General features: G+C 41.5%; 1 protein-coding gene across 3 annotated transcripts in view, besides 1 other annotated feature; it reads left to right on the top strand.

Annotated features, from left to right (window-relative positions):
* The window catches only part of CSMD1 (CUB and Sushi multiple domains 1), a 2,059,554-nt gene that overhangs the window by 1,209,067 nt on the left and 830,399 nt on the right, over nucleotides 1–20,088 (top strand). The gene's annotated exons all lie outside the window — the stretch shown is intronic.
* Nucleotides 16,574–17,161: an enhancer, noted in NCBI's record as "OCT4-NANOG hESC enhancer chr8:3626209-3626796 (GRCh37/hg19 assembly coordinates)". NCBI's record gives its function as "activates a minimal SCP1, AML or CMV promoter by ChIP-STARR-seq in naive H9 embryonic stem cells {active_cell/tissue: H9 hESC(naive)}" and the evidence as "EXISTENCE:reporter gene assay evidence [ECO:0000049][PMID:30033119]".

Here is a 20,088-nt window from a genome sequence, read left to right as displayed (position 1 = left end):
CCAAAGCCCTCAGGAATAAGGAAGAAGCTCTTCAACATAGCTCTTCCGCAGCCTGGACCTACCTACTCTTCCAGGTTCCTGGGGCACCATAGGCTTCCTAGCTCCTGGCTCCCCGCACCCTGGGCCTCTCACTTCTTGGTAGCACGTGGCTCCTCCATGCACACAGCCCACACTCACCCTCAGGGCGATGCCAACTCTTCCTTCAATAAACACTCGATGGTAACTTGCTTCTAACATCTTATAAATGAGATCAAATGATCCAATTAAGTGTTCTTAGCACCGCTTACCTCTCCCTTCAAGCCCTGATTGTGTTTGTGGAAGTACACCTAGGTGTTTGACTGCCGTTAATGTATTTTCCAACACTAGAGTACAAGCCTTAGGAGGGCATGGCCCATTGCTGATCTTGGCATTGCTGGGTCCCAGCTGCTTAGCCTGACCTCTCACCAGAACAGACCCTTGATGGCCAGGTGTGGAATGAAAAAAGAAATGGTTCCACTGCTGACTGAGGCCTTGCCCGGGGCATTTATTTTCCGCAGCCTGAAGTTTCATCATTTATTTTATAAATGCTTCTGTCGTGCTTGCTTTGAAACAGACACTCTTCTGAGCATTTCACAAACTGTGATGGATTGATTCTTCATAACAACTCTTTAATTCAGTAGTCATCATCTCCATCATGCAGACAGGCACTAAGGCCAAGAGAAGTTAAAGAACTTACCCAACATCACAGAGGTAGGACCAGGATTCAAATTCAGTCAATCTTGACCCAAAGTCCACTATGCTATTGAGGGGTGAGATGGGCAGTTTTTCTATCTCTATTCCCTCCCTCTACTTATAACTGTTTAGCTAGAGAATCTGACATGAGAGACATTTTACCAGAATGATAAAATTAAATTCTACAGCAGTATATTTTAGCTCAACAGGAAACTTGTTTTGACCACAAAAATGATGTTTGTAAAGTACAATTTTAAGCAAATGTTAACATCAGTATTGTGATGATTTCATTGGATGAGTTGAAAATCAGCGGAAATGGTGCAAGCAATTGTGATATGCAACATGATGTAAATATGAGTGGAATTGCTAATTGTATCTTATTTTACTTAGTCATGCATTGGTGTCTGCCACCATTTGTTTATAGAATAATAGCATATTTCCAGGAATATTTGAAAATTTGCTGACAATATCCCTTATTTCCAAACCAAACAGATTTCTATTTATTGATTTATTCATTTTTCTGTTCTTTGCTAAAGCATATATTGAAGCATCTTAATAAATTAGAAATTTAAATATTCATTTTATGACCATGAGGGACCAGTTGGTGTGTTAGAAATTGAGGATTCTAGCAAGTCCAAAAATAAGTGCCCATCCCTAGAAGTTCACCTTAAAATCAGGAACTTATATATCTCTTTAAGAAACTGAAAGGCCAAACAGCATAATACTAACAGCAGTTATTTCTGGGCTGAAGAATCGTGTGATTTCTCATTGTTTTCTCCATTTTTTCAATAGAACAACTTTTAATTTTAGAAGTGAGATATTAGAAAGTATATATTTAATATTATTTATCTGAGAAATTTAGTAATCTAGCAAGGTCCTGTGTTGGACATTTATTTACACATCCTTTTAAAAAATAATTTGTTATTTATTGGGTACCCACCCCTTTCCCAAGGTGTGACACTTACATGTCTACTATATGTATGCATGAGAGAGAGAAAGAGAGAGGAAAAAGAATTTGTAATTATTATTGTCCAAACACACTAATGTTTTCCGAAGCATTTTAAATGAATTTACTATTTCAATCTTCACAACAGTGCTGTCAGGCATGTTGTACGATGATAAACATTTTGCAAATAAGAAAGGTCAGGCACCAGAAGAGGAAGTAATTTGCCCAAGGGCAGGTAATAGGTAAATCGCAGAGCTGGGGTATTCAAACTGCAGCCCAGCTCCAGCCTGCACCACAACCATGGCCGAGTCTAGTTCATGTGCTCCTGAGGTGAAAACAGTCATCCATCAATATTAATTGGTAAGTGGGAAAATGCTGTCCTACAATATGGAAGCCTCAGTGTCTCCTATGCGACTTTCTTTTCCCCTTATATGCAAAGGGGGATCTGAATAGCAGGAGTAAGAATGAGACCTTTCAGGAGCAAAGGGGAGGGGAGCCTCCGTTTGACTGCTGAACCAGCAGCAGGGTGCTTCAACCATGTTTTATGGACATGCAGAAGAACCAGCTGCATCCAGGGCTTCCTCTCAGGCCTTTGCTACTGTGTCCAACTCTCTCACCTGTGCCAGGTGGTGCTTCCTCCTGTGCCCACCTTAGGGGCAGCACCCTCAGCACAGGATTCAGGTCCTTTCCCCTCCTCAGCACTGCAGGGCCGCCTCACAGCCCGCCAATGCTTCTGTGCTCCCGACCTGCCATCAGCATAGGGCCGCCCAGGGCCGCCTGACTGTGCCAGCCGTGGGTCACCCCAGGGGCATGTGACTGCTTCCTGGTGCTTTGCTCACAGAGTTGTACGGACTTGAAAAACCTGCCATCTGCACTGTGTTTCCCATCCATCCCAGTATTTCTAATGGTGAGTTTTGCAAAAAACCAGTTTTTCCGGGAGCACCTACACAGTATCGGCCTGACCATGCACTGCTATCCAGGAACAAGAAAGAATGGTGATTGAACAAATAGAACAGGTGGAAAGATGTTGAGACTTAAGTTGTCAAAAATAATCTCCTTCTGGATAAATCCCGAGAAGGGAGGATGGTGGAGGCTGGGGGTTACGGGATGGGGAGATGGGGACTTGCTTTCAACAGTAGGAAGTGTCAGTACAGAAGATGAACGCGTGCTTGCGATGTGCTATAGGACGTTGTGCTTAATTTTGCTTATAGCTAACAATCCTGTACCTACAATTTGGTTTAGAGGCTAGATCTCTTGCCATGTATTTTTAACCACAGTTTTATTTATTTATTTATTTTTTGGTAATGGCTCACGGTATAGTATTCCCAGGCGAGCTAGGGCAAGAAAGTCGCTCCATAAGTGTTCATGCTAGAAAAACCTCTTATAAAATCATTTGTTATCTTTAATTCCTAAAGTTTATTTAGATCTCTATTCATACTGTTCTTATAATTCAGTATCACCAACACCCAGCTCCTTGAACCTAGCCAAAAACTATTAGCTTGTTCTCAAACATTGTTGACTCTGAGAATATATAGCATTTTTTAAATTACACTTTAAGTTCTAGGGTACATGTGCACAACGTGCAGGTTTGTTACATAGGATTACATGTGCCATGTTGGTTTGCTGCGCCCATCAACTCATCATTTACCTTAGGTATTTCTCCTCATGCTATCCCTCCCCCAGCCTCCTTTTTAAAAAGCACTTGATTTTATTAGATTATCTATACATGTTATGCGTCATTACTGCTGTCCTGAATTCAGGGTTGTTGAACAGCCTATTTATAGTCTATTTTTTAGTTTATCGTGATTATTCAGGTTAAAGATTGACTTGCCGGAGTTCCCTTTTTGAACATTTTCCTATAGGGCCACAGTATCATACAAGTATGGTTAGCATGGAAATATATAAGCAAGTCAATGAGTATCATTAAACAAAGCAAGCACAAAACTAACATCCTGGTGACTGACATAGATTCTGTCCTATGCCGCACCGTGAATTTGCTTTTCATGTGACATGAACTTCTTTGACTTCGTTTGTTTTCTCTTTTAAATGAGAAAAAAAGAAATTATATGACCCCTACATTCTTCATGGCTCTCAAATTTTATTGTTTATTTTATCAAACTCTCCTTCCAAGTATTAAGTGGACAGAATAATAATAGAGAGATACTCTTAAATTATCCCTTAAAAAATCAAAATGTCTTTCAGTATCATCATCCCTTCTCTTACCACATACTCCTTTTTTAATGGAGTTGGCATGTGAGATTATAGTTCTTATTAAATGGGTCTACCAAAATTAGAAAATGAATTTAAGTGAAAAAAAATAGCGGGAAAATGCCATTGAACAAATGAATCTAGGAAGTATAGAGAGCAAAATCATAAAAAGTCATAACTTTTTTAAAAGGAAACATTTATTCAGCATTTCTAAGCCCTCTGTTGTCTCTATCAGATTGTCAGGGGCAATATTGGCCCCCTCACATGGGGACACCCTAGAACCTCCGTAGGCTGGAGTCCAGGATGGAAACCTAGGCACCTGCCATTCACATCACAGGGACAATCATCAACTATAGGGTTTCTTGATGGTATGTGAGACTGTGGGACAGAGTACACTGATAATTGGAGAGTTCTTTTCAAAAGCGAGTAGCAGTGTGTAAGCAGATAGACCATATATCCATGTCCACAATCGCACACCTAACTCAGGGGCACCACGTGGTGCAACTATCAGCAGCTCCCTTAACCCGTATTCTCTGAGAGGAAACCCCCCAGACTGTGCTGCTCCCAGTCCACCTGGCCTCACAGCACAAGCTTGCATTAACTCTATAGAATGCGCTTGACCTGACCCTAGACTCCGTGTTCAATGAGTAAAGAATGAAAAGAACAAAGACATGTATGAATATTGTATATTCATACCATATTCTCTCGGCATGTACTCTGTGGTAGTGCACATTCTGATTCACAAAATTGAACAGGTGCAATTTTTTAAATTTTGCTCCAATTATCACTTTGTACTGTGAGTTAAATAATCACCAATCTTTGTCTTGTTTGGACAACCTTGATCATGAACTCCAAAGCTGAAGGTGTTTTTGGCTTCTTGAAACAGTTTGCAGTGCCATGATCATAACAGGCTTTCAACTATTTGCTGCTTTACTTTGCTTAGATTTCAGTTTCCCCTACGAAATACTTTATTCCAAGGAGTCACACAAAATGTCACAGATATTTTCAGATCATGAAGACAGATATCTTTAGAGCTTTATTTTTACATTTAGAAAGCCATGGTCTTACCTAAATTCTCCAGTGTTACCTAAACCCCTTCCACACTCTGCAAATCTCAAAATATCCAATAAGCAGAGAAAATTATTGAGGAAATTGTTCTATGGCAAAGCACTAGGGCCAGCTGATTGAATTACTTTCTTTTAGATGAATCTGTGTATAAGAATGTCACCCAAGAGATTAAATGGGCTTTATGTGGAAAGCATCTGTGCATTTCTCACCAGGCTGGGCTCTTTCTGCCGACAACTGAAGCGGTTTGCACAGGTGAGGGGCTTGATTACAACCCCAGGAGCTGGGAGCAGGCCCAGTTTGATGACAGTTGTAGTGAATTATTAGATGCACTTTAGTATTTGTGAATTTGAAAATAGTAGTTTGTTGAAGCTCATTACCCATCCAATTCAGTAGTACCACAAAAATTGACTTGATGGAATGGTTACTGATACTCGATTCAGGATGTAATTTTGAACCATTAAAGTTGTGAAATCCACTCTTACTAGTGAGTCAGCAGTGTTGATAATGTGTGCTGAAAAGGCGATAATTAAGGACCAGGCCGCCTCTTGATTGTTTGCAATGCTTCCAAATTCTATTCTAACGAACAACTGTTATTTCAGTTGACTCATTTGCGGAATACGAACTAATTGCTCAGCCTCTTCTGTAGTATTTCTGAGCATGGAAGAACCAGACAATGCTGATTTGATTAATGCCAGTGTACTTACAGAGGGAGATAAAGGATGCTTTTAACTTTTAACCTGTCATATTGGATTTGTGCATACTATGTTTCACCCCGATGGCACAGGTTTATATCAGCGCAAGCCTTCTAATGCAACACCGACTGGTACAGTAAAAGGATTTTAAAGAATTTTAAAGAATGTTTCTCACAAAAGTAGAAGTAGAGTGTGAATACCAGGAACATGTTTGTATTTAGGAAAAGGAGCTTGGAAGTTCACATTCTTTTGGTTGATTTAAGCTTTCTTAGTTTTCAGCAATTTAAAGGTTAAGACAAGCAGTGGATCTGGGAGACAGGCCATGAGAGAAAAAAATAAATGAAACTAAATTTTCAAAATATTCAAGAACACCTTAAACAACTATTTTTCCTGTCCCTATTAAATATGTCTCAGCTCAATATTTCTGGATGTTAATCTTCTGGAAGGAGCATGAGGACCTGGGATCTCTTTCAAATAACTTAAATATAATTTTATGTTCTGCAGATATAAAATATGCGCTAGATAGTGTTGTATCTGGTTTTCTATATTTTAAATGTCATATCATTGCATAAATGTAACCTAAAATATTAACGCTGTCATTATCCATATTTTATTAAAATACCCGGTTATTCAGCAGCATAATTGCTTTTGGATATTTGAGCATAATTCACTGCTAATTTGCATGGCTCATTTAGCAGAGTAATTTTCCATCACATATTTGATGAAATCAGTGAATACTATAAAAGGATTGTTTTAAGATGTCTAAAATTTTAAAATGACAACTTAAACGATCTTTCTTGATGCTCCTACGTAGTGCTCATCGATTACAGGGTTTCTGAAGCCCCTTCTTCATCTTGGGTCATTACAATTTGTAGCTACAGTACTACTTTAAAATTATGAAATCTCTAAAAATCAATAGAAAAGTTCAAGCCTAGTTTCATAAAAGCTCAAGCAAACAGATAATACCCTTGCTAGTCCTCACCTTCTAGAAGGCATACAGTGAGTTCTGTCTTATTCACCCTCTCAAATACTGCACATACACACACACACACACACACACACACACACACACAAGTATGCACGCATAGTGAAAATATTTTATTTATCTGAAAAATAGACATTAGGAGTCTTTTAACCTACATTCCATTTAGAGGAGAACAGGAATGGTAATTTGTTATGAAAACGTTGATCATGCAAATATTCTGGTGTCTCTGAGCTGATCTGAGCCTAGAAAAAGTGCTGCAAATGAAAAGAACACAAGCCAAGGCTGATTGTCCTCCCAGAAACAGCATTTTTGAGAGATTGTTGTTGATCCGGGAACTCCTGTCCTACTTTTTGTCCAAATGCCTGCAAGCAGCATGTTTTCTCAACTGAGTATTCAATGAGGAATAATAAACTTGTACAGCAGTCAGGAGAAAAGTGTTCGGAGCATGAAACAAGGCTCCATGATACCCAATCACAAGCAATTATTTGTAACCTGATTTCCAAAGGCCCTGCAGAAAGGAAGCGGTGCTCGGAAGATGATCTTTGGCCAGCTCTGAAACTGCAGGAAGCTCTGGTCCAGAAACAACCTGGAGAAAGGTTGGAGGCAGGAAGGAGAGGTGCAGAACAGAGACAGGAGAGGGCACTGATGCTCTTTTCTGCTAGAGAATCTCAGAAAATAAACCCCAGGCAAGAGCGTGCACAGGCACACGGGCAGCGTTCTTGTAGAAGGTAGGGATGGGGGCAATGGGACTACCGTAAGACAGGAACCCTTGTAAGGCGAGGGCACCTTGGGATGGCTGGAAGTGGAAAGAGATCATTTAAGTGTTGAATCTTTTTATTTATTTGTTTCTGCCCCCGGTCTTCTTACCGAAATGATTCCAGACAGCTGGTGATTACACAGGTTTCCCTAATTGGGGAAAATGTAACAGGAGAAAGATACCCTTTTAAATGGTAAACTACTGACAGGCAAATAGAATGTGATAGCAAATGTCAGAGCAGAAAATAGTCAGTTCCACAGACCTCTAAAGGACAAACGGCCAGGATCCCGTCCCTGCCCCCTGCTGACGCCTCTAATCTATCCTGACACATTTTTCCACTGACTCCAAACTGAGTCTCAAAGTCTTTCTCAAGATAATGCTCTGGGCCAGCAGCTCTCAAACTCCAGTTTCCCCTGGAGGGACGTGGACAGCCTGTTAAGCACAGACAGCCAGACAGCCAGAGTTTCTTAGGCTGCAGGTCTGGAGTGGGTACTGAGACTCTGCACTTCAAGGAGGCTGCAGGTCTGGAGTGGGAACTGAGACTCTGCCCTTCAAGGAGGCTGCGGGTCTGGAGTGGGAACTGAGACTCTGCGCTTCAAGGAGACTGCGGGTCTGGAGTGGGAACTGAGACTCTGCACTTCAAGGAGGCTGCGGGTCTGGAGTGGGAACTGAGACTCTGCGCTTCAAGGAGGCTGTGGGTCTGGAGTGGGAACTGAGACTCTGCACTTCAAGGAGGCTGCAGGTCTGGAGTGTGGCCTGAGACTCTGCATCTGAAGGAGGCCGCAGGTCTGGCGTGGGTCCTGAGACTCTGCACTTCAAGGAGGCTCCTTGGAGGAGTTCTTGTTGCTGGTTGGGATGCTGGTGGGGGAGGCATCTCATTCTGAGACTGCTTCCGTATGGCAGCTTGTCTCCTGTGGACTAGAGGGAGCCTGGAGGAGAAAGCCCTCCGTCCTGTAGGATTTTATGGTGCTCAGAGCATCCTCAGCCCATCATCTCTTAGAGTAGCAGGACACCAGAATGAGCACTGCTCCCTTTGAAGCCTGCCTGAGGCCTGACAGGATGCCCCAGGTGCAAGAGCAGTGGAGGGGGCCATGCAAGTATCCTGCAGCAGTTAGCTCATCTGGAGGCACTGCTGTCTGGAGCACTGTGTGAGTAGGATTATCAGTCATTTGTCCAACAAATATTTACTGACTGTGGACTGTGCACCAAGCAGAAATCAAGCAGACAAACCCCTGCCCTTAAGGAGCTCATGTTCTATAGGAGAAGGCAGATTTTAAACATAATATAACAAGTAACAGACACACATACATATATATATGATGTGTGTGTGTGTGTGTGTGTGTGTGTGTGTGTGTGTGTAGGTATAGATAGCTAATATAGACAGATGATAGATAGATAGTAGGAAGCATGATAGATGTAAACAGATATAGACAGATTTCCATTGTCTTTAAATCCTCCAGCATTTAAGGTCAGATGTGGGGGGTCATGCATGTAATCCCAGCACTATGGGAGGCCCAGGTAGGAGAATCACTTGAGATCAAGAGTTGAGACCAGGCTGGGCAACATGGTGAGACCCCGTCTCTGCAAAAAATACAAAGTTATATCTATCAGCTATCTTTGTCTGTATCTGTCATTCTATGTATGATCTGTCATCTGTATATATATATATATATCTCGTCTATATGTCACTATCTATCACTGCTCATCTATCATCTCTGTATCTTTTTTCTGCCTATCTTTATCTGTCATCTACCTAATGTATCTATCATCTCTCCAGGTAGCCATCTGTATGAAATCAGGTAATGGCAAGTGCCTTGGTGGGAAGGAGGGAAAGAAGGAGGTGGTGATGGCTGGATATGGAGTCTACAATGTCAATGAGATTTAACAAAAGTCCCGTAGGAAGAAGGTGAGTCACCTTTGAGAATATCTGGCATTCTATGCAGAGGGCACAGCAAGTTCCAAGGCCCCAGGGTGTTTAAGAGAGAGCAGGAAATGTGTGTGTGGCCACAGCTAGGTGTGTGAGTAGAATGTGGCCAGACAGGAGATTAGAGAAGGACAGGAGTGAGAAGGTGTCAGCCCTTGCAGCGCCTCTTTAGAGTCTGGCTTTACTCTCAGTGAGACAGGTGACCCCTGGAGAGTGTCGCTTCAAGGTGCAATGTGATCTAATTTGGGTTGTATGTGACCCCTCTGGACAGTGTTCTGAGAATAGAATGGAGCAGGGAGGATAGAAGCAGGGAGGCTGTGACCTCCATCCGGATGAGCACAGGGCACCCTCCGGTGCTGAGATGGTCAGACATGGATCTGTTCTGAAGGTAGGATCCGTATGATGTGCAGATGAGCAGAGTGTGTGCAGGTAAGAAGAAGGAAGGAAGGATGGGGGAGGATGGGGAAAGAGTAGATTTGTATGGACAAGGTAGGTGTATGGGTTCTGAGGTGGCTCCAGCACATGGAATAGAGAGTCAAGGGGAAATTTGGATCAGGGTCTGAAGCTCTGAGGAGGAAGCCTGGGCTGATGACATGAATTTGGCATCATCAGCATATAGGTGGCATTCACATCCATGAGACTGGAGGAGCTCATTGAGAAGCCACATGTGGCGCAAGGGAGAGAGGTCTCAGGACCCATCCTAGGTCAGTAACAACCCTGCGCGTTGGCGGAAAGCAATGGACCCCATGATGACATCAGCACCCAGCAATGCTTCGTGGACCTTTTGTAGATTAAGGCAGTAAAACAAGTTTATAGTTCATATCATTTGAACTGTGTGTTTGCGTGCATCATTTAGGAACTAGAACTTATTTCAGTGACTGTGTTGGGCTCTCTCCCCGACAATCTATGACTTTTACTGAACAGGAGCACATGAGTCCCAACAATTTACGAACTTTACTGACAAGAGCACATGAGTCCACACTGGAGATCATTTGAAGTTGCGCTCTTGTAAAAGTTCTCCCTGCTTTTAATATTAGGATCCTATTGGAAATGTTATTCATAACTTCACCCCGTGTCCTTTTCATGAGTATCATTGATAAATGATTGTTTTTGCCCCCTCCCCAAAGTACTTGTTTTTAATTGCTGTGTAATTTGAGTCAGGTACCTGGGCCTGTTACCTGCTATGCTGTGTCTGCTAGATGGTTCAGAGGTGAAGGCGTAGGATACATTGCCTGCATAACTTCACTCCTGGATTCATCTTCTGTTCACTTATTTTTCACTGTCTTTAAATCTTCCAATGTTTAACATACAATTCATTTCTAACTTGTTTTGCAAAGTTTTATCTAAACCTTTCAAAATTCTTTTTTGGACTTAAGTTTGGTATAAATAAAGAAATACAGTAGTTCCTCCTTATCTGCAGTTTCAGTTACCTACGGTCAACAGCAGTCTAAAAACATTAAATAGAAAATTCCAGAAACAAACAATTCGTAAGTTTTAAATTGTATGCTATTCTGAGTAACATGATGAAATCTCCTGTATCCTGCTTGGTCCTGCCGGGAGTGGGAATCGCCCCTGTGTCCAGTGCATTGCTGTGTATATGCTACCTGTTTCCCGTCTCGCTGGTCAGTCAGTAGCCTTCTTGGTTACCATATTGAAAAGACATTGTGTACATATGGGCTCAGCACTCTGTGTGGTTTCAGGCATCCACTGGTAGTCTTGGAATGTATCCCTTGAGAATGACGGGGCAGCACAGTCATGGCTTAAAAACGGACACTGTGTCATCCATATTGTACTCATTAGAATAGTAAATAGAAATCCTTTCACCAAAATTTGAGAGCAGAAATCGTGAAGTTATTCCTTTGCACTTAGCATTAGTCAAACTGATTTTTTCACTGGTCTCCAGCTAGGTTGTCCACAGTTCAACAAAGATAGTGAGAATTTGAAACAGGTTCCCAACTGAAGATTAACAGAGAAAAGCAGGAAGACATGACGTTCTGTCCACTAAGGAGGGGAATGAAAGATTAATACCAATTCATGTATTCAGCATCTTTCTATTTATTTATTTAACCGTCTCTCTGTCCTATGAGCCAGGCAACAAAGCACACATTAGGCAGCATGGAGATATCATGGTGGAAAGCAGGCTGACGGCATCTTTGAAAAACTTGTGTTTTGCATCCCGGGGAGATGACAGACATCCAAACAACCGCCATATGATAACACCTCAGGCACTGTGTACTCTACTGAAACCCAGATGCTCTGGGAACACATTGGAATTCAATTCTGATTGCAGCAATCTGTAAGAATTTACAGAGCAAGTGGCATTTGAGCCAAAAGTTGTTGGATAAGAGAAAATTATAAGGTTGAAGGGTCAGGCGGTGCAGGTCACAAAAGGCTTTAGATAACACTTTGTGCAGCGTAAATTTATGCTCAAACCTAAGAGGGAATGGGTTGCGGACATATTTAGACAAGAAGCTGCATGACTCAGCCTGTATTTTAGGAAAATAGCAAAAGCCCAAGAATGAAAGATAGGTAGGATAGCGCAGCAACTGTGTAAGTAAAAGAATTAAGAGCAAATAGATGCAGGGTTAATCCAGGCACAGGCTCCTGTTAGCTGTGCAATGTCATGCAAATTACTCAACCTCACAGGTCCCCAGTTTGTTTATTGGTTTGCATTTTCCTCAGCAACATAGTAATGATCAAAATAAATACAATGTGGGGGAAAGTGAGTGAAAACGACTTGTTGAAGCATGTAGATGGGCCTGCCACTTGAATGATATTTATTCTGGATATTTATTCTGGGTTAGTGTCACCGCCCATCATGCTTGCCCTCCTCATCATCAATTTGAAGGTGGGAACTCAATTAAGATGCTGTTGCTGTAAGTCAGCAAATAGAGAATAAGGCCAAAATTGAATAAAACTGCCAAATAGTTTACACTGGACTTACTTTGTCTTCACTAAATACCTATTATAGGACGGGTGTGGTGGCTCATGCCTGTAATTTCAGCAGTTTGGGAGGCCAAGGTGGGAGGATCACTTGAGTCCAGGAGTTCAAGACCAGCCTGGGAAACACGGTGAGACCCAATCTCTACAAAAAATACAATAATTAGCCAGGCATAGTGGTGCATGACTGTCGTCCCAGCTACTCTGGAGGCTGAGGTGGGAGAACCACTTGAGCCTTCACTGTAGTCGAGGCTACAGTGAGCTGAGAGTGCACCACTGCACTCCAGCCTGGGTGACAGGGCAAGACCCCATCCTACCAGCTCTCCCCAAACCTATTATATCCCCAAATTATGCATGGAGAATCTAAAACACAAGCTAGTTTCACACTTTGGTGACAGATTATGTGAGTACATGCCATCGTCTAAATGTCAGTGTCCCCCTAGAGTTCATGTTGAAATCCTAATGCTATTAGAAGGTGGAGACTTGGCGAAGAGATGAGGTTGTGAGGACAGAGCCCTCGTGAGTGTGATTAGTGTCCTTATAGAAGAGGCCCCAGAGAGCTCCCTTCTTCCCTTCTGTCATGGGAAGGTACAGGGAGGAGGTCCTGCCTCTGAATCAGGAATCCAGTCCTTCCCAGAAGTGGGATCCACTGGCACCTTGATAGTGAACCTCCAGACCCCAGAACTGTGAGCCATAAACATGTCTTTTATCAGCCCTCATCTGTGATATTTTCATTGTCACCCTGAATGCACTAAGGATGTGGTGCAGAGGAGGGGGTTGGGAGGTGCTGTAAGATGGCTTAAACACAGACTTCCAGTTGGCTGTCATGGTGCTTTATAGACCAGACATTCGTTCAATATTTGCTGAATGAAGGTATGTTTGATATGTGTGTGTATATATATATATGTGTGTGTGTATATATTTGTATATATATGTATATATGTATATATAAATGTATGTATATATGTATATATGTATATAAATATATGTGTATATATGTATATAAATATATGTGTATATATGTATATAAATATATGTGTATATATGTATATATATGTATATATGTATATATGTGTATATATGTATATATGTGTATATATGTATATATGTGTATATATGTATATATGTGTATATATGTATATATATGTGTATATATGTATATATATGTGTATATATAAATGTATGTATATATGTGTATATATAAATATATGTATATATGTGTATATATAAATATATGAATATATGTATATATGTATATATAAATATATGTATATATGTATGTCTAAATATATGTACATATGTATGTCTAAATATATGTACATATGTATGTCTAAATATATGTACATATGTATGTCTAAATATATGTATATATCTATATATAAATATGTGTGTGTATTATATGTGTGTGTGTGTGTGTGTGTGTGTGTATATATATATATATATATATATGTTGCCCTTTCTGAGAATTCAAGGAGAAAAGGAGGTGTTCATTTACAGTTTAGAGCACTCACACAAAATCACCCTAATATCAACCGCCTGGATTGGTAGCATAATGGCAGACTCAGATGCTCGCACTAGAAGCTCCTCTTTAGATCCATTTCAAAGGAGGGTATGGATTCTCACCAGCCCAGAATTGGATAAATGCTGTAATTGCTGAATGCCAGTAGACATTACACGGCTTGTTGAGTTGCCTGTGGGCTATTTTTCTCCTGCTCATATCTGGGTCAGATCAGGACTGTGGCAGATTCAAAAGTGGGCAAAGCAAGGACAAGGAGTGAGAATGTATTGAACGGATCATTCTGCCTCATAGTAAAGGGTTCCCAGAGTTCTTTCCTGCAATGGAGAGAGCATGATGCTGTCATTTGAACACACACAGTCAATGTCATTGAATCTTGCGTTTTGTCTGCTTTTACCTCGAGGTCTTTAGGGGCCTCTCCGTTCTCTTCCTCCTGTGTTTTGCTTCCTGGGGGTGATTCAGCACTGGCTTCTGTCACCTTTCTCCAACTTGATGCTGCCTGACTCCCTGCCCCTGAGGCTCTCCAGGTCTCTAGGGCTGTGTTTCTGCAATGGTGATGCTATCCAGTCACCCAAATGAGCAGAAGCTCCAAACTGTTGTGTGTTCGAGAGCTTGAGAATTGGCCTGGCCCTGCTTGCCCCCCCACCAGCAACTGAGAGAAGAACTTGCTATCATCTGCAAAAAGCATTTTGAATGAAATCTCTCCTTTGTAAACTCTTTTTGCAGAGTGTGAAGCAATGCCGTCTGAATTTCTAAGCGTTCTTCTTTGTCTGTTATCCCTGAGAGTAAGCAAGGCTTCCAGAAGCACCAGCAGGTGCAGCCTCTGGACCTAACCTCAAAGCAAGAGTGGCTCACGGAGCCAAACACGATTTCAAAACCCCAAAGTAGCTGGCCCCAAAAAGAGTAGTCATCGTTTTTCCCCAAAGTGCACCAAGTCATAATTCCAGTGTGTTGAAATGTTTTATTTTTTGTTCACAATTTGGATACAGTTTTTCAAGATCCTGAGAATACAATACCCCCAAGACTATTGTCCACCACAGACATGCAAATGAAACACACACACGCACGCAGACACACACACAGACACACTGACAGAGAGAGAGAGAGAGAAACTGTCCAAATTAACATGCACTGGGCAATTTCTGCTTACCTCCTATTGAATTCGGAGATTCACCAAGCTATCTGAAAATGATTAATTTAATCCTGCAAAATGCTATGAGACTAAAAAATATGAGCTACAGGACCATTTGTTTTTCCTCCTTTATCTTTTCTTAGGTCAGCTGCTAAATATATAATGGTTGAGAGAGTATAAAGAAAAACTGCAATTAAGTATGGGTTTGGCGGGGAATGGAGTAGGCAATGGAAGGGAAAGAGAGCTACCATCATGGTTACAGTGACATGAAATTAGATCACAAGGTGTTGGGGCGACAGTCAGTCATGATGGGAAAAAGCACTAAAAACAATTTTCCTTTCAGACCCTTCTTCCCTTCATTTATGGCCGTTCTGCATGTGCGACAGGCCTCTTAATGTTCCTATTATGTTCTTTCTTTACTTTTTATTTATTTATTTTTTGAGATGGAGTCTCACTTTGTTGCCCAGGCTGGGGTGCAGTGGTGTGATCTTGGCTCACTGCAATCTCTGCCTCTTGGGTTCAAGAGAATCTTCTGCCTCAGCCTCTCGAGTAGCTGGAATTACAGGCACGCACCACCGTGCCTGGCTAATTTTTGTATTTTTAGTAGAGACGGGGTTTCACCACATAGGACAGGCTGGTCTTGAACTCCTGATCTTGTGATCCACCCCCGCCCTCGGCCTCCCAAAGTGTTGGGATTACAGGCATGAGACACTGTGCCCAGTTGCCTAGTATTTTCTTGCACCAAGGAAAGAAGCCATGTGTAGAAATGTTTCAAAATCATGGGAGAGGGACCTGTATGAGTGTGGCATAGGCCAGGGCTGCAGGTAGCCTTTAGTCTCCTGCTGGAGACAGCTGTGCCAATCGCTCTGATGGAAAGAAGGGAGTAATCTGGAAATAGAGACGCAAGCCTTCCCTGATCAGGAATCACAGCAAAGGTAGAAAATTGGCCGGATCTAAAAAAAGGAAGAAAAAGGCAGGTCACTGTATGAATTCACAGAGTGCCTTTCAAAGGCTTCTTCCCAAAGCCTATTTTTTGTAAAGAGCAATATTGCAATAGGCATTTCTCAAAAGTCCTGAAGAGCTACATCCCTTCTGACACATACGTTTTTCTTCTAGGAGTCCATCCTGTGAAATAAAAGTGCTGATTCAACACACATGCATCGTAAGGTGATGTGCTATAAAACTTATGAGACTGTGAGAAATAATACCAAATTGCCATAGCAGGACATTGGTTAAATAAGTAATGGTATGTTCACTCAATGGAATAGTTCACAGAATTCACACATCATATATATATAGATATACAAAGAGCTATAACATTCTCTTAATGGAAAAAAGTGGATTTTAAATGATGTATAAATAGATACTTCACTTTTATATCTGCGTGTACATATCTGTAAAGGAAAGCACATAGAAAACTAGGTGTATTTTTGTCACTAATTTTAATGATATTATATTTTTTCTTATTTTTTTATCCTCTATTTTCTCAACAACTGTGGAAGAAAAACAATGAGTTCAGCCTGTCACTTTACACTGGAATTGGATGTATCTGACATATTCTTTTGTGTCATTGAATGCTTTTTAACATAGTATTTAATGGATATTGTTATCTAATTTGGTACAACTTTCTTTTAACATATTTGCAATTTTTCTCAAAATGATTTTAACTAAAGACCACTATTTAGCTATAGTTTGTTACTGATATATATGGAAGAATCATGGTGATGATCAAATTGCCTTCGAGTGTTGTAGGTGTCACCAACATGTCTGTGAACATTAAAAGCTTGTAAAATCATGGCAAGGGGAAATTGTAAGTTTTCATCTTTTAATCAATTTAACTGTATAGTAACTAATAAGGAAAAGTCATCTCTTTAATTAGTTTGCTCAACTCTGACTTTTCCTGACTGACTTTCTAACCAAACACACCTGCCTGTCCAAAAGCAACTAACGCCCTCCCCAGGTGTGCTGTGGGCCTGCTGTGCGGGAATCCGCCAGGCCTTTCCTGTTCCATTCACCTTCCATCGGAACACAGCAGATTCTTGAAAAGCAGTGAGTGCTAAGTAGACCCTCCTTCAAAGAAGTGGTGCTCTAGGATGGACATTTCCTAGAGCCTGTGCATTTTTTCTTTTAGACTATCCACCAAGGAAGTAATGGATTAGCAAGTTACCAGCAAAACTTAGGACAAGCCTTACGATTTCTGAGAGTGTGTCAATAATGTGGGATACATCCGTTTGGTTTGCGTGTTAATAAAGAAATTACATAACTTTGCTAGACTGGCTGGAAAGGAGCAATAACACAACACTTAAAAGTTCTGAGCTTCTGGAGCAAGTGAAAATAAAATATGGTCAATTCCTGCTTCTATTTAATGTTACACTCTGTGTTGAACTTAAAGTACTCTTGTTTCTGTTTAGCAGTGTCTGAGCCATTTGGACTTTCTTATAAATTGTCTCATGCTATTTTATATTCTTGTTTATGGCATAAACTAGAAATTTTCAGAAAAAAATATGTTGGAAATATATTTTCTGGTTACAGTAATCAATTTAAAACATTTATAAACATGGATTGATCTAAAGGAATGTTACTCCTTAAAGGCTGGGTGTTTGGAATTTCCCAATCATATTGAAGATGAGCTTCCACAGTTAGGTTGGATTATTCACTGAGTGGGAAGGTGAACCAACCACCTAGCTCAATCATGATATTCACTTGGCCCGGGAATACGTCTCCGCCTTGTTGCCATTGGCCACTGTATGGTTGTCTATGCCAGGAACCACTCTTCCTAAAGATTCCCTTAATTTCTGGGCTTTAGTTCTCCTACCTTACTGTCCACCCCCTCTCTGCTATCTTTGAAGACACACATTTTGGCCTGTCTTTAAATATATGACTCTAAATCATATGGACCGTAGCTGTCTATACTCGGGGTCAAAGATTGATTCTGTTTTGTATACCTGGTGCATTCATGGAGTTTGGAACTGCAAAGACATATGAAATATTTAAAAGTTCAGCATCCCATGACGTGTAATGTTCACATCATTAATGTAAAGTGGAAAAAAGCTAAGAAGTTGGGAAACTTTTTAACTTTTTACCATGATATATAAATAAATAGACGTATTTATTTATCTGACCCACTGGGCATTTCCACCCGCAAGGCTGCAGTGCTGGTGGAAGCCCGTGTACGTGAGAAGATGAGAGCACTGTTCTCTGAGTGTCATTAATGTTTTATCATCTTAAGGTTCACTTCTCTTAACGCAAAGTATATGTAGACATACACTGTATAATATACATAATATATAGGTATTACTTGTATACCATATATCATATACAGTATGCATTGCGTGAATATATATGCAAGTGGATATAAAACATAGTTGAGAGATAGATCCACACACTCGTATTTGGATAAGGTCAGCAATCAGCTTTGGATGTTATGGGATAAAGTGAGGATCAGAGCATAATCTAAGCCTTAGTTAGGTTGGGGGAAGTAGAAAAAGATGCTTGAGAGAACAGCAGCAGCTTGCAGTCTGCAGTAGCACATATCGTTATTCACACAATGAACAATTCTGAGGTTTAGGAGGGCTGAGTAAAGGCCTGAGGTCACCCACATGGGAAAGGACATGGTTGTGTTTGGACCCAGGTCAGTATGACTCCACTGTCCGTGTTCGTAATGACCACACCATTGCAGAGTGTGCAGGTCGGGGAGAAAGGCGGCTGGTTTTCATAAAAGAGCCTGAGCTGCTCTTTGGCCTCAGTCCAGAGCCTGTGCATGGAATGAACTTGCTTTCTACGATGGCAGCGTGACCTAAGAAGCACAGCACAGACAGACCAGCTGGAGACACAGCAGCCTCAGCGGAACCCCACGGCTACTGTACTTGAGTGAGGTTTAAGTGGGTCTGCAGGAGGCAGGCAGTGATGCTGAAAAGCAGCTGAAGAGCTCCGGAGTTATGAGAGCTCATATGATCTCAGATGTTGAGGGCTGCTGGTCTTTTCGCCTGGGGACCCATATGATTGCATTAGCCGTGCTGCATCTGTTGCCGTCGGACTCGTTGGATATCTTACCAGCTGACTGAACAAGGTCTGCGTCAGTCTATCAAGTGATATAAGAAATTTGCTAGAAAAAAGAAAATGGTAGACTCATTTCAGGCTCTTGGAATGAGCTAGGATAAGACTTGTTCTTATCCCAAGATTAAGGAGAAAAATGTGTTTTTTAATGATATTCCTAAAGAATATGTATGCTAAAAATAATATCAAGAGAAAATTGTCAGTGAACCCAAAATAAATTGTTACCATGTTTTTTTTTTAAATTATTTTCTTTATTATCAGTCTTTGAGTATCGACTGTGCGTGGAATTTATTATAGAGATCTCTGTGTTTGGCGACACTGCCTTTTTTGATAGTCAAAATATGATATGGATATCCATTGCCAGTGCCGACTGCTCCCTGTTTCAAATGTCCAAGTATTATAGGAGGCAAAGGGTGTCTCCCTGTTTGTTTCTTCGTGTTGGCAAGCCTGAGAGGCCTGTCTTCACAGACAGTAGTAACCCAGGTACCAGGACATTGGATACAGCCAAGGGTTAGAAACAGGCACTTGGAGGTTTCGTTTTCCAGGTCACTGACTTGGATCCAGATTAGCTTGTTGCAACCAAGATTTTTAATACCAGTGTGATCTGCGTCACCCGTGGAGGGTCCTCCCACATTGAAAGGCCTGTGAGGAGATTTCCAGGTGGGGCATGACAGCTCTCTCATCCGGCAGAAGAAAGCGCACCACTGTGCTGGCCTCATTCCTCTGTCCCTTCCGTGGACAGGAGGCCCAAAGTACACACCCACAGAGAAATGCCATCAGGGCCACTGTCTCTCGACTGTCTTATCGAATTACTTGTCTGTCTGAGCCATTTCCCAGGCTTGAGTTCTGAGCAATTCCCTGGCACGTAGTCCTTAAGCTTAAGAAGATGGGCTTTGTCACATCCTCTCCCAAATGATCCTCTCTGCCTGACCTCTGGGTTAATTCCTGATGCCTGATTTGCTGGCATCCAGGCCATTTTTACAGCCTTCTCTCAAGTCTGTCATGTTTGAGATGGACTCTCATACCCTATCTCTCACAAGTGCTGTCATCCTCCTCTTTCTCCTTCCTCAATGGTGAAGGTGTGTCCCCACTGGATTCCTGAGACCTGTCTCCACCCGTAGGACTCTGGAGCTATGCTGGGGCAAACAAAAGG

The sequence above is a fragment of the Homo sapiens genome, chromosome 8, assembly GCF_000001405.40.
Source record: "Homo sapiens chromosome 8, GRCh38.p14 Primary Assembly".
NCBI classification, from domain to species: domain Eukaryota; kingdom Metazoa; phylum Chordata; class Mammalia; order Primates; family Hominidae; genus Homo; species Homo sapiens.
Note: the sequence above shows the minus strand (reverse complement) of the source record. Positions and strands in the feature narration are given on the sequence as shown.